Below are 24,728 nucleotides of genomic sequence, written 5' to 3'. Positions count from 1 at the left end.
AGTATATATATACTATATATATACATACACAGTATATATACTATATATACTATATATATACATACATAGTATATATACTATATATACTATATATACTATATATACACATACATAGTATATATACTATATATACTATATATATACATACATAGTATATATACTATATATACTATATATATACATTCATAATATATATGTGTATATATAGTATATATGTGTATATATAGTATATATGTATTATATATAGTGTATATATGTATTATATATAGTATATATATTTATTATATATAGTATATATATGTATTATATATAGTGATTGATTAGCTTTTTTTGGTCGTGGTGGTGGCAGTGACAAGAAACTTGTTTATATTAAGCTTCACGTGACACACTCAAAGTTGCTGAATTTTTTAAAATGCCATTTATTGGTATAAAAACCATTTATACATTATATAAATACAATATAAATATTTCTTTAAAAATATGTATAAGTTAGCCATTTATTTGAGGTAAGCCTACACTTTCCAAGAAATGATCTGGCTCTGAAACAAAGGATATTCAAACTGCATAGCCACTTTCCATTATTATTTCAAAACTAATACATAAAATGTTTCAAGTGGTACTTCTTAAAAATATAAATATGACTTACATAAATTAACTCAGCTTCACATATTTAAATATTAATAAATTAAAAATAATTAAAATAGTGTCCTAACGCTCATACTTTTAGTTCTCCATAGAGAACAACATAAGTTCTGTGCCCAGTGGACAGGTTTCTGACCAGAAGAAGGAATGCCCATTAACAACAACAATCTGAGGTGCCCATGCTACATTTGCCGAAGAGCCCTCAGGCTGGACTGCAGGAACTCCTTAAAGCTGCGCAGAATGAGATGAGTTGTCATGTCCTGCAGCCACTGGTTCTGTGCCTGCAGCTTCGTCAGCAGGCTGGCATTTGTGGTTGGGTCAGGGGTGGTTATTGCATCTAGATTCTTTGCCTGAAGGAAAATGAAAGTAAAAAGGATTGTTTAAATGTTGAATAAATCCTTTGCAGTGGAGGGATGCTCTGGGCTATGGGATGATGTTCAAATGTGAAATGTGGGGTGAATGAGATTAACTGGGGTGCCTGCTCTGAGTAGGACCCTTCCATAGCAACAAACTTCTTTTTTTTTTTTTTGAGTCAAGGTCTCGTTCTGTCACCCAGGCTGGAGTGCAGTGGTGCACAGCAACCTCTGCCTCCTGGGTTCAAGTGATTCATGTGCCTCAGCCTCCTGAGTAGCTGGGTTACAGGTGTATGCCACCATGCCTGGCTAACTTTTTTGTATTTTTAAGTAGAGATGGGGTTTTACCATGTTGACCAGGCTGGTCTTAAACTCCTGGCCTCAAATGATCCACCCACCTCAGCCTCCCATAGCGCTGGGATTATATCAGCACTGTGCCTGGCTCACAGCAACCAACTTCTAATCATCCCTTTGCTGTTCTGTCTCCCATTAGACCACAAGCATCCTGAGGGAAGCACCACTATCATTTTTGTTTGTTTGGTTTTGGTTTTTTGTAGAGATGGGGTCTTGCTATGTTATCCAGGCTGGTCTTGAACTCCTGGCCTTAGGAGTTCAAGGAGTTCTCACCTTAGGCTCCCAAAGTTTAGGGAATACAGGCATGAGCCACCAAGCCTGACCAGCATCACTATCTTATTTGTTTGTATTCTGTCATATGAAATAATGCCTGGCACATAGTTCATATTTAGTATATGAATGAAGAGCCCATACTTAAAGGCATTTTAATATGGGTTCTTCAGTGGCCTCTAAATCTGATACTTTTCTCCAGTTTCCCTCTCACCATCCCTTTAGGATCTGTTGAAAGACCACTGATCCGGTGGTGTAAAGAGGACTGGGAAACACCTTTCCATAGACCCACCATATGGGATAAGTAACTTGTGGAAGGCCTTAAACCTCCAAGTGTGGTCCTGGAATTCTGCAGCATCACCAGGGATATAAGCCTGGTAGAAATTTGACCCTCAAACCCACCCGAGGCTTGCTAAGTCAGACTCCACACCACAAGAAGATGCCCAGGGAATTCCCATGCATGTTAACATATGAGAAACCCTGGCTTAAGTAGAAATGGCAGAGGCAGGATCAGCACCAAGGGTTTCATTCTAGGCCCCTTCTTATTGAGCTTTGGCTCCTCCACATGCTAGCCAGCAAGTCTACTCCCTGCTGTCTGAATAGCCAGCTACTGGTGGCCAAAGCCTTTGGTACCTCTTTCCACCCTTGAGTCTCTGACCATTTCTCTGAACTAACTCTCTGGTAAAAGGTAGGAAAAAGAATTGAAACAACCACAGTGAGAAGAATGTCACTTGGCAATGACTAAAATCTTAAAATCATTTTGTGCTCCTTGGTCTTTGTTTCTGTGGATCACTGGCTGGAGTTGGATGCACTTTTTTCTGCCCGCCCCCCCGCCTTTGGTTTTAAATCTCTTGCACTATTAAAAATTGATGTTAAAATCCACCTCAGTTAATATATAGTTTAAAATACAGTTATTGATGTCCTTTGCAGAAGAGAGCCAACCAACCAAACAAACAAAAAAAGATTTAACAATAACAATCAGAAACTATTTCTCAGACTCTTTTGTTTACGTGTAGCCTTCTCTTTTGGAAGTGGCATTGCATCCCTGAGTTGTCCAGGACACTGTCTTTGAGCCTGTCTTCCCCCACACCAAGTTGAGGGAATGAGGACACACCCACCTTTTTCTGCAGGAACTGGATCAGGACTTTTGTACTCATCTGCACAGCTCTGGCTTGTTCCTCACTACTCTCAAATCTGTTCTGGAGGTACTCTAGGTATACCTCAAACTCCAAAAGACCAGTGATGATTTTCACCAGGCAAGTCTCCTAAGAGGAAAGATGGTGGGAAAATTGGTTATCGCCAGGAGATAGAATCAATTTGAAAAGTTAAAATTGCCACAGTTCGACATCTTTTCCCTCTGCTCCTCTAGAGAACTTCAAGTACCTCTTAGGCAGCATGTTTTGGGACATTGGACAGCACCATTTTAAATAACTGGACAATCAGAGGCCCCATGTAATTAGTTTTATCCAAAGCCCAACAGATGCTAGAATGTGGCAATGGGGATCCTTCTCTGATTGTCCCCCTTGATGTTCTTCCTGCACTCTTGCCCTTGTTAATGCTGGGCTGGAACCTCCTTTTATAAAATAATCAGAAGACAGTGCAGGTTATCTCACTGTGGAGAATGAGCTGGGCAGGGAGGGAGGGCAGACCTGGACCCTGCCAGGGGCAGCCAGAGAGGGAAAAGGCCCTGAGAGTACCTTTCCCAGGATGAACTAATTAAACCTGTGGGAGTTTTAAACATTTGACAGTTGTTAAAATCTCACCACAGTGGCACCATCTCTGGCCATACCTGTCCAAGAATAAACTGCCTTTAAAAAAGCTTGAAGTTGGCCTCCTCATGAAATTTACATAACATTCTTTACATTTACCCACTTTTTGTTGCTGCCTGGATCTATATGTATACAGGCACTGCATGCAAGAGGGAGAAGTTTTGCCTAAGGAATAGTGAAAAGTGAGTGCGACAAGTTGGTACCTCATTGAATCCAGATTGGAAGCATCCATCTTTTTCAGCCATCTTTGGAAGGTTCAGGTTGTTTTCTGCCAGTGCCTCTTTGCTGCTTTCACACATGTTACTCTTGTTACATGTCTGGGAAAGAATACCAGAATTGTTATCACCTAAGTGTCCCTAAAACAAACACCACTAGAGGGCCTTTTCATTGTTCAACCACAGCCAGGAAAGTCTCTAAGAAAAATGAAGCTACAACTCATTGGCATCCTGGCAAGCAAATTCCAGTGGAGTGGGGGCACACTTGGGTTCAGTTCCAAGCTCACCTGTGACTTTAGGTGTGTTACTTAATCCTGAGTCTCAGTTTCCTTATCTCCAAAAACCTTCCTTGCAAATTTGTTTTGAAGATTAGACACAATATTTATTTAAAGTGCCTGGCACACAGTAGATACTTAATAACAGCAATTTTGACAATAATTAGGAGAATATAATTCAAGCCATAGAATGTTCCAGCAGGAAGGATCTATGAGATCACCTAGTCCACGCCCAATTTTACTGATGGAGTCCAGAGGTGGTAGGGAATTTACCCAAGATCACAAGGCTGGTTTGGCAGAACCAGAATTCGAGTGTGGGCTCCCAATCTCCCCTCCTGTGTTCTTTTCTTTCTACCAAACAGGACCAAAATACCTTGCATTGAAAGTGGGGAGATGCTTTAACCTATTTATGATTTGCCACTTTGGTGGGCTCTGAGGTATGAATCTTAGCTGGAATGGCTTTGAGGAATCCTAGCCATTGAGTTTACATAACCAAAAAGTACTGCAACTGCTCTGAGAAGCTGAACATGCCTTTCAGGTGGCACTTTTCTAGTCCTTCCAAAGCCCGGGGGACAAAAAGGAGCTTCACAGACCTAATTTTTTGGAAAGGGAAAAGGAAGCCCTGAGAAGCAATAACCCTCAGCTCATGCCAAAGGTGGGCATGGATTTCAGACCCATTCTGCATTTTCCAGAAAGGAAAGGAACTTCCTGACACCAGCAAAGGATAAATACAGAAGTCAGTCTAGTCGGCCCCGTTGGCCTCAAATCTACAGTGCTCTAGAACCCAGCAAAGACCTCCTAATGCAGGCAGCCCCCGGCCACACGCAGGGGCAAGGGGAACGCATGCGCACCGGGCCCTTCAACCCCATCGCCAAGCCTACCCACCTCCTTTCTCAGGGCTGAGATGCCGTCGAGGATGTACCGAATTTGTTTGTCAATTCGTTCTGAAGAGGTGAGTGGCTGTCTGTGTGGGGCGGCTACATCTTTGGAATCTTCTCCTGGGGGTACTGGGGCAGGGAAGGCAGCAGGCAACACCAGGAGCAGCCCCAGGGAGAAGGCAACTGGACCGAAGGCGCCTGTGCCGGAGGGGAGCGAGCGCAGGGGTGAGCTGACAGCACAGCTGGGAGCCTGCCTCTGCTGCTGGCCGCCCGCCAGCCCTCCCTGGGCCACACACCCCTCCCTCACACAGGGCTCGACCGCCGCTGGCAGTTCCAGGGCTAAGGATTTCCTGCACTTACTTGTGGAGAAGGAGTTCATAGCTGGGCTCCTGGAGGGGAGATAGAGCTTCTCTTTCGTTCCCGGTGGGCTCGAGGGCAGAATGAGCCTCAGACATCTCCAGTCCTATATTTATTGGGGGTTGAGACTCTAATATTGAGACTCATGGGAAAATCCCACATTTGATAAATCTTTGTTGGAGGGTGAGGGTGGGGCCAGAGCGGGTGGGGCTGATTGGAAACCTTATTAAGATTGTGCAATGTGACGTCCTTTAGCATGGCAAGACACAACTAGGGGGAAAAGTGCAGCTTAGGTCGTCATTGAGGCTAGCGCTAAGAAGCAGAACCACTCTTCCTTTACTTTCTTTTTTTCTTTTATTAGTGACTCAGCACTTTGGCATGTCTTGACAAAGAGTAAAGCTGAAGTCATGCACGAAGTTTTACAAAGAGAAAAAAAATAAGCTAAAGCTATGTTTTTTGAAAAAAAAAAAATTTTTTTTCAGTGACCAGATTAACAGGCTAGAATTTAGCGTTCCAGTTAATTTGTATTTGTAAAAACCAAAGATGTTCTGAACTGAGTTTCCTCTGACTCCATCGCAGCCCCCCAAGCCTGGGATTATGAAGAAGGTAATACTACCAGTCATCTGAGTTCTTCTGTGTTCTGGCTCTCCCTGTGAGCGGCTGTTGTAGAACTGCCTGGCCATCCTCAAATTTCGTGCAGTTACTTCAAGGCGTCTCCAGGTGGAGTGTGTGACTCCTTTTTGCCACCGCGTGGCTTCTGCCACTTTCTTCACCTGCTTCAGCCCACTTAGAGGAGGTTGGCTGCTGCCCTGCCCTCTCCCAAGTGACCCCTTGGGAATCCTCCCAGTGAGGACTTTGCTCTCTGTGCCAGAGGTTTGCCTTGTGCTGCCAGTGCTCTCCCCATTGCCACTGAGTCTCTTCACCACTGTTTCACTGGGGCACCTGCATGGGCCCCAGGTCTCCTGGAGCCCTGAAATTACTGAAGCCCACTTGGTTCAGGGCAGAAAGGGGGAGAATACTACTCACCTCTTTGTTGGGGATGTCAAAGGAGGACCTTGTGGCATCTTGCAGAGTTTGTGTTTATCGCTCCCTCTCCCTGTAAGTCTTGATTTGAAATCAAAAGAAGCTAGAAGGAAACTACGGACGCAGGCACGGCTCTAGGCTCTGAATCTGCTTCCGCGTCGGCACCCAAGAATTTCTTATTGGGTCAAGCTGGTTCAGAAGCCCTCTTCCCTCAGGATGGTGTCTCTTGCAGGAGGATCCTTGGTCTCATGCAAATGGGCTCTAGACTAGGTTGTCCCTCCAGTCTCCAGAGACCCAGACAGCTCTGAGATGGCTTCAGGCTGAAACCAGACCCTTGCACAACACCAAAACACTTATTTACCAAACATGGTGTTACCTTCACAATCGGTTTCTTTGCTTTGCTAAGAAGAGATCTCTTCAAGATCGATAAAACAGTGACCTCTGTTGGGCATTTACTCAAGTTTTGTTTCGTGCATAACATTTCAGGACCCGCCTGTTGGGGAAAGTGAGGTCATCCATTCTTCACCGATTGTCTAAACAGAGACGGTGGTCCTCTGCCGCGGTGGGATTCTTTGGTGTGAAAATGAAAATGGGGGAGGATGGCTGGATGGTTTCATTTTTAGTGCTCTCCTGTCTTAAGCAACGTAGACACTCCTGAACCAAGTTCTCTTTCCTGCATGAAACGAAGCCACTGCTCCCAGCTCCGCAGCCGTGCACTGTGATCCGTCTATGTAATGTGAGCTTGCTTTTACTCAACTATCTATTTTTTAGAAAATACAATTCAATAAATTTCAAGTACTTGAACTGAGTGACACAATACAACACACAGATTTATCTTTTCAATAAAAAGTGTTTTTTAAATAGGAAGTTCGTGTTCATGATAAAATGTTCAAATAGGACATCAGGGCATGCAGGGAAAAGTGTCTCCTTCCTCTCCTGGCCCCTTTTCCCAGAGGTAGCACCTAATTGCCTGTATTTTCAACCAAATCCTCTGTTATCCTAGCCTGGGAAAGGTTTTCTCGTCTTCCCAGCTGTTTGATCCTGGCTGTTACATCAAGGACCTGTGCCCTTGTTTATTCACCTATAAAACGGGGGTAATAATAGTTCTTCCTTTCTAGGGCTGTTGTGAAGATGGAACGTGATGCAGTGTAAAAAATTCCTGGCGCATAGTAATCCCACAATACATGCTAGCTCTTTGAACATTCCTTGGCTCAGAGTCTCTGCCTTGGAGAGCTCTTCCAGCTCGGCTATATCGGTTCACCTGGTGTCTTGCCTATGAAGGAATTATGAATGAACCAGGCCTCTGTGCCAGCAATGAGCTGGTCTCCCAATCATTTTCCCTCAAAAGAAATGAGATTCTATGTTTTGTTGAAAATGTTTTATGGCACAAAGTGCAAAATGAAAAATAATAATAATTTTCTTTTTTGAGAACATTAAGATCCCCAAACCAGGTCTCTTGTTTTAGATAATTAGTCCAGCTTGCGTCTTGCTCCTACTAGACTTTTTCCAAGCCCTCCACTAAGTGTTTTTATGTCAGAATTCCACAGCCTTCCCTGTGCATGGTGATTGCCATTAATTCAAACTCCTGATAGTGGCCCTCGAGGGTGAAGGGGCCTGATGCTTCTGGGGTCAAGAAAGGGCAAACTGTGGGAAGGCATGTGTGTAGGGAGCTTGGAGACACTGTCTGCCCCCTGCACATCGCAGCATGGCACTTTATTAGTATCAATGCTTTGGGCTGGAATTTGCTTGTGGGAGAGATGAGCTCTACCTTGCTCCAAAAACGTTAATGTAACTGACATGTGCAATTCCACAATGATAGCTTCCTTCCTTTGCATCTCAATGGATTTTTCGCGTGGAGAGCTCATTCTTTGTTTTTTCTTGTTTTGTTTTGTTTTTTCTCTTGAGAAGGAGTCTTGCTCTGTTGCCCAGGCTGGAGGGCAATGGCATGATCTTGGCTCACTTCAACCGCCGCCTCCCAGGTTCAAGCAATTCTCTTGCCTCAGCCTCCTGAGTAGCTGGGACTACAGATGCATGCGACCACGCCCAGCTACTTTTTGTATTTTTAGTAGAAACGGGGTTTTGCCATGTTGGCCAGGCGGGTCTTGAACTCCTGACCTCAGGTGATCCACGCGCCTCGGCCTCCCAAAGTGCTGGGTTTACAGGCGTGAACCACTGTGCCCAGCCCCTTGTATTTTTTAAAGGGCAGCTTTAGGTCATAGCAAAATGGAGAGGAAGGTACAGAGATTTCCCATATATCCCCCTCTCCCCCCAACTCTCCCCCGTATTTTAGTATGAATACGTGACCAGAAAAGGCTGTGCTGTCAGCATTTATTAACTAATACTTTAGTTGCTGGATTGCATCATAGCTGATGTGAAGTGAGCGCCAGCTGAGATCAAGAGAGGCCAGACAAATGGGAGTGCACAGGGAGGAAGCAGCAACTTGGCTTCCTATGCCACCAGTGTGGGGCTGGCATGTCCTATCTGGATCTCCCAGAATTACTGCCCATGACTGCTTTCTTACGTGATGGTGGAGTCCAGTTCAGAATCTAGTAATACATTTGAGACCAAGGGGGAAAAGTAGCTTCCATTTGGTACTTAAGCTCTCAGGAGGAGAAGTGTTCTCCACGTCTCAGGAGTTAAGATGTAGTGTTGTGCTCTTTCTCTATATTCTGGGGGTTGGAGATGGATGAGTCTGTGATTTAACAGGAGGGAGTACAGCAAGAAAAAACGGGAAGTCCTGGGTACTAGGGAACTTGCAGTTGCTGCCAGAATGTAGTTTCACTTGTTGCCAAGTCGTAAGAAGTTTGTAAACTGAAACAGTGGGTGATTTAACAGCTTCTTCTGGGGTTGAGTCCCACTGAGCAGACACCAGGCTCTAAGGCTCTGGGAAATGTCCTGCTTTGATGGTGGTATTACTTGAAGAGAGAATTTTAGGGACATGTGGTGTGTCAATTTAGAAAGAGCCAGCTGATGTTGGAGGGCAGCCAGGCCTGGTGACCAAAGCTCTTGACAGTTTCCTGCCTGGTCTGGTCTCAGTCCTGGCTTTGCAGCCTCAGCTCTGATGTCCTGTTGTAGCTCCTTGGTCTGGTGAATTCTTAGTCTGGCCTCAGCTTTTCTGAGGGGGAGGATGTTCAGGGGCTGGACCTAGCTCCTCCTAGACTAGAGAAGGGGCACATCTGCCCTGCTGTGTTTCTCATTCAAAACTCTATAGGGAGGTCATCTGTTCTGTGCCCTCATTATTTTGCTATGTGACTTACCTTCCCCCTGCTGAAGTGGAAAATCCCAGGCATCTTGGGAGGGAAGTAGCCTCTCCGGGGGCAAAAAGTGTAGATTCTCTTTGCCTTGGGACACCCCCGTACCCCTTTCCCTGGGTCTCTAGGCTTGGAAGAGAGTGCCCTGATTGCAAACTTCTCTGAAGCTAGTTTGCTGATGAGAAAAATGGCTTTGCTGGTCCTGAAGAAGCCCCATTTGGCCCTGCCCCCATGGCTGGGGAGGTCCCTCGGACTGAGTTTCAGTGCTTTGCCTCTTCTCCATCTGTGGGGTAGGCTTTCTATGGTGGTGGCCACTGGTTCTGCTTTATAATTAGGAAACTTCAATTTGTCAGCGAGCAGTAATACGTTCATTTATTATCACGAGTCATTTGAGCCATCTTTGGTTTCTCCAAAGATCTCAGTTCTCTGAGTTCAGTGTCATCAGCAGAAACTAAGCATGCAAAGCATTGGCTGGTTTCCTCTACTCTTTTCCCTCAAAATTAAGGTACTAAGAACCCATTTGAAATCATCACATGTAATGGCCAGACCAGGGGATTCTACTGGCCTGGTTATGACGTCTTTTACCTCCCTTCCTTGCCCTTTTGGTTAGTTATTTGCTAAAAGGAGAGTGTCTTAGTCCCTCTGAACTAAGCCTCCTTAGCAAGCTGAATCCATGAAGAGAGGCCATTCTAGTCTTCATGGTGGAATAATTTCCACGAAATGCTTTGGACATGTTGAGGACTCTGACTCTGTAATTCTGAGACATTGGGGTCCATTATTTCTGAAGATGGGTACACCTGGATTGATTTAAAATGTTATGGAAGAATTCAGATCCAGGTAAGCAAGTTGAAGAATCATAGGCAATTTCTTCAAGCTATTGAATTCTATGTCATGTGTACCTATGTATGTGTGTGGATGTCTGCGGCACAGAGCAGAGCCCTTGGTCTATAGACCTACCATAGATATTGTTCCAAGGGGTGCTGCCTGCCTCATATGAGTGTGGCCTTACAGGCCTGGGTACCCAGAAAGCCTGGACCGGCCATCTGCTGTCACTTTTCTCCCAGGCCTGCAGCCCTTCCTGTGCTGCTGGATCTGTACAGTGGTCTATGTCTGAGCCACATTACTGTGTCCCCCAAGGGCACTGTGGGATTCCCTATATCTCTCACCCTGGAAGCCATATTTTCTATGTGCTACTTTTCTGTGGGTGAGACGGGGGTCGGGGAGAGGTGGGGACAGGAGGGAAGGCACCCATCAGCTTGGCAAGTGATCTGGATGTGTGGAAATGGCTTCCTATTGCTAAAGGCTTGTTTGGAGGCTTGCTGCCTAAGCAGTTGCCACCAAGTGCCTCAGATCCTCCTATCTCTCTAGGACAACCAATAGAGAGGCTGTCATGCACATTCTTTCTCTGTGTTAAGTTTGTCCACCATGGGCCCAGTGAAACTACTGAAGACACCAGGTATGTAGTCAGGGGCAGGTCAGGTGTCAGAGGGAAATTTGAGTCCTGGGCTGTTTCTGTCTGACATTGTGTGGGTAATCGGTTGGCCAGGCTTGTAAAAGCCCTGTTGCCCTTCTTGGCTTGATTTAGACTGCAGGATTCAGAAGGAAGTGGGGGTTTTATACTGCCAGCAAAAAATTTTGGCTGAATGTAGGGTTTCCCTGAATTAGGCTTGTCTTTTTACTGCATTGCCAAATCCTCGGCTTCTTGTGTCTTGGGAGTGTAGCTGTTGGCAGATGAAAGTGTTCAGATGACGATGAACTGAGGATTTGGGGCAAAGTACTCTCCCACCTTAGGGGTTTGCTGAATTCCCTCCTAGCTCCAGGATTCTGTGGTTCTGTGATTCTGTGGATTTTCATTAGCCATGCTTATTAATCAAGAGTCTACTGTTAATGGGACTACAGGAATAGGAGTCTCTACATTAAGAAATACTTTTTGAAAGCCCAAAAGCCTGATGCTGTCTTCTAGTTCCCACCCAAGGACCTGTTAGTGGAAGTGCTTTGACTGGGCAGGGTGCCACCCATTTTGACATGCCCAGATCTTAGTGGCTTCAGGGAGACTAAACTGATTCAGGAGATTCTAGAGCCCTGGTAAGGGCTGCTACCTGAAAGGAGGTAGCAGATTTCTTAATTATTATACAAGCACAATTATTATACAATTAATTATTTCTTAATTATTATACAGGCCAGACCAGGCTTCCTGGGTACCCAGGCCTGTAAGGCCACACTCATATGAGGTATTCAAATTAAATGTTTTTAATTTAAAAACAAGTAATACATTTTCAATGTAGAAAACAGAAAAGAGAGATAAACAAAAGGAAAAAATTATAAAATACATTATCTTAGTACCCAGTAGTAATCATTGTTATCACTATGGTGTAATCATTCTAGTCGTTTGTACATTTTTTCATATGTATCTAGGTGTAATGGGAAAATGCCATCCACGGCGTTTGATAACCTGCTTTCCCTATTTATACTCCTTTGTATGCGTAACATTCTGGATAACTCTGAGTAGAGGTGAAGTAAATAATAGCTGTAGGTATACCAATCAGAGTTCAGAGGGGAAACATCAAGTGAGGTTTACAGATGACTCCTGCATATGCACACAATTCACTTGTTAAGGCGCGGGGAAAGAGTTCATATCTTAATGGGGATGAGATGCATTTAAAACAATCACTGAGTTTCCTGGAGGGTTAACTTACCAGTTGTTCATGGAGCAGTGTAATCCCTAAATCAAGCTGTGCAAATTGTTTGGCATCATGAAAATGAGTTTGCAGTTCAGCTGAACTTTGCTTTTCAGCTGGTTCTGGGACATAACCATGCTTTTGTTGGACCCCACAATGGGCATCAGTAGCTCATTGCTCTTCCTTGGTGGCAGGACCTACGGAGAATTGTCATGAATGATGGCATCATCATCTTTTCTCATCTTGTGTGGCCCGTTACCTCTAATACATTGACATTTCTTATAAAGGTCTGTTTTGCAAGGCAAAAAAAATGTAAACCTTGATAAGGACTTTGTAGTCTTGTACCATTTCTCTCCTTTCCATCTCCAGGTCTGGTTGTATCTCCCTCAGGTGACCTCTCACTTATTGTGATTGTGTTACTTGTGCAAGAGAAACTGCATTTCCTGTGGGTGCAGAAGCAAGACCCACCACAAAGCAGAGAGTTTCTCTTGATAACGGTCAGGGAAGGAGTTTGAGTGTTTGGCCATGGTCTTGCTTGAGGATTCTGAGATGCTAAAATGAGCTACTGTTGGGTTTTTTAGCATTTCTTCTCTCTCTAGAACTCATCAAAAATATAATAGTAAGCACCAATGTGGAATAGTTTTGAGGTACTGAGTGAAGTCCTTTGAGGATTCGTGGCCTTTGAATTCTATAACGACACCATTGTTTTCCTTCTAAGGTACTTTGAGTAATTGACATGTAGGATTAATCAGGTATTTATTGGATGCCAGGTGCTGGACTAGAGGCTTTACACACATTAATTCATTTAAACTTCACTCTATGGAGGTGACTATTTTATTCTCACTTTATGGATAAGAAACTGAAGTTCGGAGAGGTTAAATGATTTATTTACCTGAGATGATGCAGGAACCCAGAATCATGAAAAAAGTTCATTGGTCTTTGGGAGAAGAGGTAAAATGGGGTGGTAAATTGGGGGTAGGGTTGTCAGAAGAACAGTGACATGATGAAAGTATTTCATCTGAGTGAGCAGGAAGAAGACCCCAGGGGATTGTAGTCTGGGAGGTGGGCTCAGAGGCTGTTGCAAACATCTCAGCATGACACCAGATGGAGGAGCCCAGGCAGGGTTGCACAGGAGCTGGCCGGTTCAAGAGAGCCAACTGTACTGATCTCTTCCCAACTCTACATTAAGTGACTCCTGATGGTAGCTTGAAATTAGTGTGGAAACATTACACCATGGAAATTGGCAAATGCTACAATCAGAGCCCTCCCTTCCCTCTGTTCCTTAGCTAGTTGTTAAATATCTTCCAGACCATAAGTGGGTCCAAGGAAATAAAAGGATATTTTGAAGGCAAAATCAATCCATTCCAGAGATTAGTTATATTGTATGAGCTCTATTTGGGGAGTGTAAGAAAAGGATGTATCAAAGGCATTAAGGATTATTTGATCTTCTCTCATTTCAAAGGCAATTGATCACAAAGCTTTTTAAGGAAAGAGATTGTTCTGGTCAAAGTATGCTGCTTCTATACCTCAGAATGAAGGCTGCCACTTTTATAAACAGATAGGCACAGGCTGCCACCTGAATGAGGGAGAGTTAGGATGTGCGCAGGACACACCTTGTCCTACAGAATTATATGCGCTCAGATTTTCCCCAGCCACGTGCTGGATCATGGCTTGATGGATCAAGGCAGAGGCTGAGCCCAGCTTTTCTGAGCCATGGGATAAGTTAGAAGCAGAAAGTTAGTCACAGTGAGGGAGTTTGCTGCTGCACAGCAGCAGCCCAGGGGCCTAGGGATTTCTGCTTTGTCACTGTCTGTCCCATCCAGAGCTGATGAATGAAGAGGCTGGCTTTGGGGCCCTGAGTGAAAAGGACGAGGAGAGCCCTGAAGAGTTCTCAGGGTCTCTAAAGGATTGCTGCTTCTTGGATCATAAGTTTACTCTTAACTGTAACAGAATGACAGAACGTCACTTCTCCTAATATTATTCTTGGCATAGCATCTTGTGCTGCGTCCTTCTTGTGATTCATCTCCATTACAGTTCTGTTACATATTTCTACGATGTTGCATTAGAAGAACAAACAGTGTTGTTAAATCCAATTCCCTGTCCTCTTCCAACAGTACCCACTGATGACAGGAACCTGGTTGATACTTAATTGTGTGATAGCTAAACTTCAGAATATTGAGTAAAATGTAAAACTCCCTGAAGGAAATTTGGTTCCATTGCATGGCACAGCTCCCAGGCAGGTCACAGGAGACTCTATGCTACATTTTTTTTTTTCTCTCCGAAGCATGCCAGTCTTTTTAGAACAGTTTCAGTGCAGGGTAGAATGCCGTGACGTCTCTGTGTTCTGAACTTCTGTCAAGACTCAAATCATGCCTCGATCCTCCCAGAAGCCTCTGCTGATCAATTTCCAGGAATAGTGCAGGTTCTCCTCTGGGCTCTCCCGCAGGGGCATGTACTGTACTAATCTGTTTCCGGGCAGTGTTGTGATGGCACAGGCTCTGGAGCCAAACTGCCTAGGTTCAAATCCTTGTTCTGTACTTTCTAAGCTGAGGTCCGCTGGGAAGTTAACATCTGGGCTTAATTGTTCTCATTTTAAAAATGGAGGTAGCAGTTGCACCTTATGTCACAGAGTTATCAGAACCTATGTAAAGTGCTTAGCATCTGCCTGGCACATGGTAGAGTCCCAGTAAACATGAGCTATTAATACTGTTATTATTTTCTCCCCAGTTGATTGAGAGTTTCTTGAGGGCTCTATCTTTCTTGTGCGAAGGAATAGCATGAATTTGAGTACGTGGTTGGTGCACAGGATGGTAAACGAATGAAAGCTGGGATCTCCTTGGAATTTATGTCTTGGAAATAATCGTCAAAGATTTAGAAGTAAAGAACAGTTTAATTTATAAAATTTTCTTTGTATATGTGCTTTCTAAAAGCCATATAAAATATTAAGCTTATTTGATTTACAAATTAGAAACAAAGATGGTCATACTTTACGCAAAAGTTAAGAAAAAAAATACATGTACTTATTCCATATCACAGGCAGTATGGTTTACTAGAGAAAACATGGATTGCAGAGGCCGACTTGGTTTAAATCCCAGCTCCATCATTTACAGCTTGTGTGGGTTTGGGCAAGGCACTTCAATTCCCTGTGCCTGCGTTTCCTCATTTGTAAACTGTGGCAAATAATACTTAACCATCTGGGGGTGGTTGTGGGAATTAAATGAAATCCTATCCATTAAGGACAGTTATTGGTATATGCTAAATTGTTGGTAGATGATAATTGTTGTTGTTTAGTTGTTGATGTATTAGACAGAGGTGGGGCAAGGGAAACAGAGAGGAGAAGGGAAAAAGAGAGAAAAGCATCAACATAGACAAAGCAAGAAGGGGAAAGGCAGCTGAAAAAAAAAAAAAGCAAAACCCAAAATGACCACCAAAAAAAAAAAAGGCAAATAAAGTGGCTCATAGATTTCATTTGGTTTTGAAATGTTTTAGAATTGTTTTTTGTAGAGACAAGGTCTCACTATATTGCCCAGACTGATTGTGAACTCCTGGCCTCCTAAAGCACAGGAATTACAGGCATGAGCCACCACACGCAGCCATTGTTTTAAAATGTTATATGTTAAGTTTCTAGTTTTTACATAGGTAACACATACCCATGGCACAAAATTCAAAAGATAACAAAGAGTACTTAGTAACAAAATTACAAAAAAAATTTACACTTCCACCATGTGTGAGCCATTAGGGGTAACTACTGGGTTCTTGTGATTCCTTCTAGAAATACTTCATGCATGTATTAGCAAAATATTCATATTTCCTAGGATTTATTTTTATTCTTCTACATAAGTGATGGCACATCAGTTACACTGTTCTACATTTTGCTTTCTTTATTGAATGGGTTTTAGCAATCATTTCTTATCAGGAGATGCAGAATTGCTTCTTCCTTTTTAGCCTTCGAATTCCATGTATTTAACCAGTCCCCCATTAAGGGAATTTTAGGTTGTTTCCAATCTTTTGTTATTACAGCTAAAGCGGCAATGAATAATCTTGTCCATGTGCGATTTCATACATGTGAGTGTATTAGTGTGATAGTTTCCTAGAAATTGAATTGCTGACTCAAAGGATATGGGCAGTTTTGAGACAGAGACAGGTAGAGGTTGTACAAATTTAATACTCCCTCCAGTGATGTATGGGAACAGCTGTTCCTCATATGTTTGTCAGCACATGATACTGTCAGTTTTCTTGATCTTTGCCAGATTGCAGAGGGAAGAACTTATATCAGCGTAGTTTTAATTTGCATCTCTCTTGTATAAGTAGGATTGAGCACCTGGTCAGGTATTCAAGAACCATTTTTATTTTGTTTTCCGTGAATTCTATGTTCATATCCGTTGTCTATCTTTCTGTCAGTTATTGATCCTTTTCCATTGATTCAAAGCCCTTCTTGATATATTCCAAGGAGCAAACGTTTGTTTTTCACATGTCTTTTAAAATTTATCATTCGTCTTTCTGCTTAATTTATAGTGTTTTTGCCATGCAGAAAGTTTTGATTTATATGAAGCAGACTATATATCCTTTCTTTTATGCTTCTAGATTTTGTGACATACTTAAAATGGCCTATTTAGTCTACTTTGATACAATGAAAATATTCTTCCAGGTTTTCTTCAAGTTTCTTTAAATAATAGGTTTTGAAATATTGGGCAAATTCAGACTATGCTTGTCACACGACAAGATGAACTATGCTTGTTACACCTGATATAAATACACATACACGGGAAGAAATGTAGGTATGTCTGGAAGGTAGAATGAGAAATACTTCTTTTCCTCTTTGTAGTTTTCTTTGTTTTCCAGGTTTTCTGCATTGATTATGTATTACTGTAGTACTCATGAAAATGTTAATTAAATGCAAGTTTATTTTGACCATTTTAAACCTTTCTTTAAGATTCTTGGTCCCTGGATCTCTCTGAATGCTAGTGTTGCCGCCTGTTTTGCTTTGGAAACTGTTTGGCTTCTACCCAGAATAGCTTTGACCCACTCCAAATGACCTCTTGTGGCTAAATCCAATGAAACATTCTGGTCCTAAGCTTGCCTTACCTGTAGCCCATCTGAAGCTACTGACCACCCCTTCCTGCTTGGCCTGCCTCCCTCCTCTCTCCCTGCATCTCCTCCTTCTGGTGGATATTCCCTGGGCCCTTGCTCTAGCCGAGCCCTGTACAGTAATAGGGAACATTTCAGAGGGTCCACTGTGAGCTAGGTGCTCTAAGTCTGTGTATATTATCTTATTTAGCCCTCATCACAATATTTCTTTTATCTTTTCTTTTCTTTCTTTCTTTTTTTTTTTTTTTTTGAGACGGAGTCTCGCTCTGTTGCCCAGGCTGGAGTGCAGTGGTGAGAGCTCAGCTCACTGCAACCTCTGCTTCCCTGGTAGCTGGGACTACAGGCACCCACCACTACGCCTCGCTAATTTTTGTATTTTTGGTACAGACAGTGTTTCACCATATTGGCCAGGCTGGTCTTGAACTCCTGACTTTGTGATCTGCCCACCTTGGTTTCCCAAAGTGCTGGGATTACAGGCGTGAACCATCGTGCCCAGCCTTTCATCACAATATTTCTAAGGGAGCTATGGCTATCAACTGGGTTTTTCAGATGAGAAAACGGAGCATTACAAGAACTAGGTAACATGCCCTAGAGCAACCAGATAGAAATGGGTGGAGCCAAGATTTGAACCCAGGGACTCTGATCGTAGCCCATGCTAAACCAGGCTCTCTTCTCTCTGTGCCTTCTGTAGGCCAACCCATCCTTGTGGGACTTTACCTACCTTTTCTCTTTTACACAGATGACTGCCAAGTTTATGTCCCCAACTCTGAGTTCTCTCTTGCATTCTGGACAGCCCAGTGGCTGATCCACTTGCATGTGCCACAGACACCTTAAATTCAGCACGCCTATATCTCCTAAGATTTTCTGGAGAGATGGGGCTGTTATTTTTCATAGTGTCTGGTAGAAGAGGCTAGAAAATGAGAACACAGGGAACTTGACTCAGGTATTCTATGAGGTTAGTGCTTTGCTTTATAATTAAGTTAGATTCAATTCATCAACCTATTACAGGCCTTAATCCCTGACCTTAAGGAGTTTTTAATGATTCAGTGTGATTTTCATATCCTTGTTCTTTTAAGACCAATATATCCTTTTAGAAGATTAGTTACCTTTTTTCCCACAGCCCAAAGTAATTTGCTTATCCTGATGGGAAGGCCAATTCATTTCCTAAAAGTGAACGTTGCTTACTCTCAGAGAGCAATTAGCATTGAAATTCTGGATCCGTTTAAATCCTCTGAGATTCTGTGGTTCAATCCATTGTAATTAATAATCACAGAACACTCAAGATGGGACATTAGATTTAAAAACAATTGTGTTCCAGCAAGAAGAGGAAACTTCAACTCGGCAAGGAATCTTCTGGCTTAAAGATTGGTTTTTATGCCTTTGCAATTGAGAACAATCTCTATGAGAAAAGCACTAGCAATTCCAATTCTCTAGGATAGTGTTTTTCTTTTTAGCTTTCCTATTAACTAAAAAAAGGTATAAAAGTAACACATGCTAAGTGTAACAATGGCAAGATTGCCAGCCCCTTGAGTGAGCTGACCACTGTTAACAGCTTGTACCACTTTTGGCACCCTGCCATGGGCTCACACAGTAGGATATCAATAGGCATCCTAATTACATATGTAGAATCGAGGTTGGTTTGTTTATTTTATAGTAATAAGATCATACAATGGTTATTACTCTACAAGTTTTTTTTTTTTTTTCTCACCTAGCTCTAGACCATGGATACTCCATCCAGGTCAGTTAACATAGCTTTATTCTCTTAGATAGCATGTAACATAGCAAGTTACACGACTTATTTAGCCAATTTTCTCTTGATGGACATCCAGGTCATTTTTTATTTTCTACCTCTGCTGGCAAGGCTGCAAGAGACATTCCTGTACACATATTTTTATACAATAAAGCATCTGTTTCTAACAAGTCCTAAAAGTAAGAATGCTGAGGTCCAGGCTTGGCTAATTTCTAAAACTACATTAATATATGAGCTGAGGAAGGGAAAAGGGAAGTCACATACTTCTGTCTGCCAGGTACTACAGTAGGTACTTTCCATAAGTTGTTTAGTTTCATCTTGGTCTCCTGTCTCTAGTTCTGCCCCAATGTCTCCTCTACATAAGCACAGATAAGCATATCAATCTGCTCAAAACCCTACGTAGTTCACATGATCTTTATGGTAAAGGCCAAGCTAGTGATATTGCCCACAAGGCCTTCCAGAGTTTGGTTTTGTCCACCTCTTCCCTCTGTCTCTTGTCCCTCTCCCTTTCTCTTTACATTCCAGTACACCTGAACTGCTTGCAATTACCCACCTTACCCGGCCATTTCAGCCCTCTGGGCCTTTGCTCTTCCTCCCTCTCTGCTCTAATGGTCCTTCCCCACCTCATCCCCTGGCTCTTCTATCACTCATCAGTCAATACCCACTCAGTCTTCTGCTCTTTCAGAACGCCTTTTGCAGGTGGGCTTATGAATTCCTGAGGCTATATCATGCTGTGGTGACTTAAAATACAGAAATCTTGGTGGCTTAATACAATTTTTTGCTTGGCCGGTGAAAGTCTGCTGCAGGGCTGGGTCATTCACTTGGGCAACTCCCTTCAGAGACTTGCCTGATGGAGCCAATGGAAGCTCCATCATTCTGTAATTGTACCATCCAGAACACTCAGCCTCCTTGGTTGCTGTGGCAGGAGAAGAGAGGGTATTGTGCTAGCTATGAAGTGTATTGGCCCAGAAGTGACTGCATTAGTCCCATTCTCAGCCCACTGGCCAGCCCTGTTCCGTGGCTCTGCCTAACTCCAAGGGACAGAAGTGTAATCCTCTCATGAGGCTGGAAGGAAAGGAGATTGGACATAAGTGAGCAGTAGAAGCCTCTACCACAGGTGAGATGCTACTACTCTCTCTATGTCTACTAGAATTGTTATATGGCACTAGAATGATGACTTACATGTGTCTCCCCCACCACAGTGGACGCTTTGTGAGGTTAAGGTGTTTTATCTTCCTATCTCCAGTATCTGGCACAGTGTATGGCATATAGTAAATGATGAAGAAATATATGTTGAACAAATCCATTCACACAAATCAACAATCTACATTTTATAGATGGGGACACCAAAGTTCAGAGAGGTCAATTAACTTACCTGTGATCCCATAGCTAGAAGGTAATAAAGCCGATTCACACTCAAATCTATCAGATTCCAAAACACATAATTTTAGGAAACGTTCTAGAAGTTAATATTCCCAGGTCTGATCTGGGACATAAAGAGTTCAACCATAGGGAATGAATTCAATCTTGGAGACACAAGAATCCTACCAGCCTCTACAGCACACCATGTCTGGAATGCCCAGGGTGCATCTGCCTGGGTCCTCTCTGTGTTTGGGGAACCAGTGGTGAAAAATAGGCAGATCTTTATGATTCGACATCTCCCAGGTATGGACTTTAAAACGAAACAAAAAAGTAAGAAAAACCAGTCCTAGCCAACCCAAAGTACATTCAGGTCTCTATCACAGCATCTCTCTTTCCTCACTTAATATATTTGAATTTAAATAAAACCCCTACTTTCATAACTTATGTAGCTACAGAGTGCTCTAAAATATGGGGTTTGAAATTGAGTTTGAGGTCCGACTCCCATGCCCCAGGCCTATCACTGCACCTCACTGAGTCTCCCTTTCATTATCTTATAAAATAACACCAACTATAAGAAGACCCACTTCCCTGTAATTTGGGGTAGACTACAAAGTTCTAACTAAGCTCAAAATTCCAATAGAGAACTTCAGATAAATACCCAACCTTCTTCATGCATTTCTAATTTGTACTGTCTGTTAATCTTCTTATACTGGTGTTCCTTCTATGTTGCTGATTTGTGTTGTTAAAAAACCTTAAAGGAGAGAGTACTGAAAGTAGAGTCATTTTACTCTCTAAAGGTATTTTATTTTATTTATTTTTCTTTTGAGACAGAATCTCACTGTGTCACCAAGGCTGGAGTGCAGTGGCACAATCTCAGCTCACTGCAACTCCTATATTCAAGCGATTCTCGTGCCTCAACCTCCCAAGTTGCTGGGACCAGAGGCACGCATTGCCACATCCGGCTAATTTTTGTAATTTTAGTAGAGAAGGGGTTTCACCATGTTGGCCAGGCTGGTCTCGAACTCCTGACATCAAGTGATCTGCCCACCTCGAACTCCCAAAATGCTGGGATTACAGGTGTAAGCCACCGCGCCTGGCCCTCTAAAGGCATTTTAGAGTGAAAATTGTTAAGAGTCCAGGCAGGGCACGGTGGCTCACACCTGTATCCCAGCACTTTGGGAGGCCGAGGCAGTTGGATCACAAGGCCAGGAGCTCGAGACCATCCTGGCTAACACTGTGAAACCCCGTCTCTACTAAAAATACAAAAAATTAGCCAGGTGTGGTGGCGGGCGCCTGTAGTCCCAGCTACTCGGGAGGCTGAGGCAGGAGAATGGTGTGAACCTGGGAGGCAGAGCTTGCAGTGAGCTGAGATTGGGCCACTGCACTCCAGCCTGGGTGACAGAGCGAGACTCCGTCTCAAAAATAAATAAATAAATAAATTAAGAAAAAAAAGATTCCAACAACAATTCAGTTCAAGATAATCCTTACCCCTTTTCATTCTGTTTTCCCTTACCCTGGTTTACTTTTATCACAGCATTTACCACTAGCTAAGGTTATATTATTTATCCATTTGCATGCATGTTCATTGTCTATCTCTCTCACTAGTATAGAAGCTTCTTGAGAACAGGGACTTTGTTTTATTCACCACAGTATCCTGTCCTTATAAATGTTCCCAGTACATAATAAGCCCTCAAAAATATTTATGGAATTAATGAATGGACAGCCCCTTATGTAAGGAATCAGTTCTGATACGTGTTATGCAAGAGTTAATCTGATACTGCTGTTTCAGTGAGATTTAAATGTGATAAACTTGAAACATTTGAGTCCCTTTTGGTTTGGATGTGGAACTGTAGAGTTCATCAATAATAAATAAAAAAGAAGAAATCATTGGTTTCCAGCAAAGTATCATTTAGAATTTTATGTAGAAATAGGGTATAATGAGAAGTGAGACTATTTAATTTTGTATTACGAGTGCTTCTGGTGAGGTCTATTTAAAACATTTTCACATTTTCTATTACAAAAGCAATAAGGTTTACCACCTGCACATCCACTGACCCCAGTTCCGCTTCTCAGAGGCAACCTCTCCTAAGAGCTCTGGGAGTTTTATGTAATATGTTTTTGCATAGTGGGTCACGGATTAATTCACTCCCTACACTTGGATACACAAAGGGCAGCACCTCTGTTTTGCTCTAACTGATAGGTTATCTTTCTTCTTATAAGTCCTTCCTTTTGGGCAGCAGGGAAGTCCAGCCTTGCTCGCTAATGGGAGCCCAGTCCCTTCTGCTTTACTGTCTCCTTTCGCTTCGACACAGCTCCTTTCGAGGAAATGCTGCATCTTTCAGCGCTCCGCTCCTCCACCTTCTCTTTCCAAAGCTGGCACTTTGGGGAAGTTATCTGGACACTTACTGATACCTGTGGTGGAACGCAGATCACACTGTCCTGTGGTCAGCCTGGTGGCATCTGCTCTTACTTTCTTCAGTGAGTGGCCTTGAGGCCTGTACTCTGTCAGCCTGCTCTGACTGGGTCCACCTGTGATTCCCCGGGTGGGGGCAGGCCTGGGAGCTCTCAGCAAGGTTGGGTCAATCTCACTCCCCCATGCCCTTTGCCTGGAGACCTCCTTTGTAAACTGATCAGCGAGCACTACCAGACCTCTTTTGTGCCTCTCCCCAGGGAACAAAGGAACTTGTGCACACTCCCATGCCACCAGGTAGCTTAAAGTGTCCTCAGCCCCTAAATCCAGGCCCTTTTCCTGCCTTATCACACCTCAGAGGATTTCTCCTCCTGATGCAATGGCCGGGCACTATGAGGGGCAGTATCTTTCATGCGCGTCCGTGTGAAGAGACCACTAAACAGGCTTTGTGTGAGCAACAAGGCTGTTTATTTCACGTGGGTGCAGGCAGGCTGAGTCTGAAAAGAGAGTCAGCAAAGGGAGATGGGGGTGGGGCCATTTTATAGGATCTGGGTAGGTAAAGGAAAATTACAGTCAAAGGGGTTGTTCTCTGTCGGGCAGGAGTGGGGGTCACGAGGTGCTCAGTAGGGGAGCTTTTGAGCCAGGATGAGCCAGGAGAAGGAATTTCACAAGATAATGTCATCAGTTAAGGCAGGAACAGGCCATTTTCACTTCTTTTGTGGTGGAATGTCATCAGTTAAGGCAGGAACCGGCCATCTGGATGTGTACGTTCAGGTCACAGGGGATATGACGGCTTAGCTTGGGCTCAGAGGCCTGACATTCCTGTCTTCTTATATTAATAAGAAAAATAAGACGAAATAGTGATAAAGTGTTAGGGCGGCGAAAATTTTTGGGGGTAGTATGGAGAGATAATGGGCTGCTTCGAGCGGGATTGGGGCGGTGTGGGAACCTACAGTGGGAGAGATTAAGCTGAAGGCAGATCTTGTGGTAAGGGGTGATATTGTGGGGTTGTTAGAAGAAACATTTGTCATTTAGAATTATTGGTGATGGCCTGGATACAGTTTTGTATGAATTGAAAAACTAAATGGAATAAGAGAAGGAGAAAAACAGGTATTAAAGGTCTAAGAATTGGGAGGACCTAGGACATTTGACTAGAGAGTGCCTAAGGAGATTCAGCATAGTCCTGCCAGCAAAGATTATTTATTTACTTTAAGAGTTAAGAGTGGCAGTTTGGGGATAGCATCAGGAGATATCAGCTGTGATGACTTGGAGAAACAGTATAAACCGGCAGTGTAAACAAGAGCAGGGCATGTATGAGTAGTTGAGAACGGTGAATAGGAGTATGACTAGACAGAAAATAGTAGGGATGACAAGTTTTTTGGGGCACAGTCTAAGTTGGTCTGGTGTCTGGGATGAGACTGGGGCCTAATAAAAAGGAGCGTCCGTACAGGAGCTCAAATGGGCTGTACCCTGTAGCATTCTGAGGACAGGCCTGAATTCTGAGAAGGGAAAGTGGTAAAATTATTGTCCACTCCTTTTTAAGTTGGTGGCTGAGCTTGGTGAGGTGTGTTTTTAAAAGACCTTTAGTCCGTTCTACTTTTCCTGAAGACTGAGGACCAACCGTAAGGGATATAAAGGTTTCACTGAATACTAAGAGCCTGAAAAACTCCTTGGCTGATTTGACTAATAAAGGCTAGTCTGTTATCAGACTGTATAGAGGTGGGAAGGCTAAACTGAGAAATTATGTCTGACAGAAGGGAAGAAATGACTGCAGTGGCCTTCTCAGACCCTGTAGGAAAGGTCTCTACCTATCCAGTGAAAGTGTCTACCTAGACTAAGAGGTATTTTAGTTTTCTGACTTGGGCATGTTGAGTAAAGTCAATTTGCCAGTCCAGGGTGGGGGCAAATCCTCCAGCTTGATGTGTAGGGAAGGGAGGGGGCCTGAATAATCCTTGAGGAGTAGTAGAATAGCAGATGGAACACTGAGAAGTTATTTCCTTGAGGGTAGATTTTTACGATGGAAAGGAAATGAGAGGTTCTAAGGGGTGGGCTA

At 43.3% G+C, this 24,728-nt stretch overlaps 1 protein-coding gene and 1 long non-coding RNA gene across 5 annotated transcripts, besides 3 other annotated features; one reads left to right on the top strand and one right to left on the bottom strand.

Moving 5' to 3' along the window:
• On the bottom strand, positions 400-5,198 carry IL6 (interleukin 6). 4 transcript variants are annotated; one of them, NM_000600.5, is made up of 5 exons: positions 5,117-5,198; positions 4,764-4,954; positions 3,592-3,705; positions 2,738-2,884; positions 400-992 (listed from the first exon to the last, which is right to left on the bottom strand). In NM_000600.5, the coding sequence occupies exons 1-5, from the start codon at positions 5,133-5,135 to the stop codon at positions 825-827; spliced, it is 639 nt and encodes a 212-aa protein (NP_000591.1). In that variant the 5' UTR covers positions 5,136-5,198; the 3' UTR covers positions 400-824. The 4 variants fall into 4 exon arrangements, with proteins under 4 accessions (NP_000591.1, NP_001358025.1, NP_001305024.1 ...); NM_001371096.1 differs by having other exon boundaries at positions 4,764-4,885; NM_001318095.2 differs by lacking the exon at positions 4,764-4,954.
• Positions 4,549-5,748: an enhancer, noted in NCBI's record as "BRD4-independent group 4 enhancer chr7:22766269-22767468 (GRCh37/hg19 assembly coordinates)". NCBI's record gives its function as "activates an origin of replication core promoter dependent on BRD2, P300/CBP, MED14 and CDK7 cofactors, and independent of BRD4, by STARR-seq in HCT116 cells {active_cell/tissue: HCT116}" and the evidence as "EXISTENCE:reporter gene assay evidence [ECO:0000049][PMID:35650434]".
• On the top strand, positions 4,778-7,003 carry IL6-AS1 (IL6 antisense RNA 1). Its single transcript, NR_131935.1, has 2 exons — positions 4,778-4,830; positions 5,693-7,003. It is a non-coding gene; the product is annotated as an IL6 antisense RNA 1 (long non-coding RNA).
• Positions 5,734-5,783: a silencer, noted in NCBI's record as "silent region_18003". NCBI's record gives its function as "represses an Ori minimal core promoter by ATAC-STARR-seq in GM12878 lymphoblastoid cells {active_cell/tissue: GM12878}" and the evidence as "EXISTENCE:reporter gene assay evidence [ECO:0000049][PMID:35858748]".
• Positions 22,921-23,557: an enhancer, noted in NCBI's record as "NANOG-H3K27ac-H3K4me1 hESC enhancer chr7:22748460-22749096 (GRCh37/hg19 assembly coordinates)". NCBI's record gives its function as "activates a minimal SCP1, AML or CMV promoter by ChIP-STARR-seq in naive H9 embryonic stem cells {active_cell/tissue: H9 hESC(naive)}" and the evidence as "EXISTENCE:reporter gene assay evidence [ECO:0000049][PMID:30033119]".

The sequence above is a fragment of the Homo sapiens genome, chromosome 7 (genome assembly GCF_000001405.40).
Source record: "Homo sapiens chromosome 7, GRCh38.p14 Primary Assembly".
Classification (NCBI taxonomy): domain Eukaryota; kingdom Metazoa; phylum Chordata; class Mammalia; order Primates; family Hominidae; genus Homo; species Homo sapiens.
This window is presented reverse-complemented; position numbering and strand designations above follow the sequence as displayed.

What these genes read in the sequence shown, in the direction of transcription:
- IL6 (XM_005249745.6), bottom strand. Translation starts at nt 5,135, where the DNA reads ATGAACTCCTTCTCCACAAGTAAGTGCAGGAAATCCTTAGCCCTGGAA. An exon ending in TCTCAGCCCTGAGAAAGGAG is followed by an intron (nt 3,706 to 4,763) that starts GTGGGTAGGCTT and finishes ATTCTTTCCCAG; the next exon opens with ACATGTAACAAGAGTAACAT. An exon ending in TCCAATCTGGATTCAATGAG is followed by an intron (nt 2,885 to 3,591) that starts GTACCAACTTGT and finishes CTTTCCTCTTAG; the next exon opens with GAGACTTGCCTGGTGAAAAT.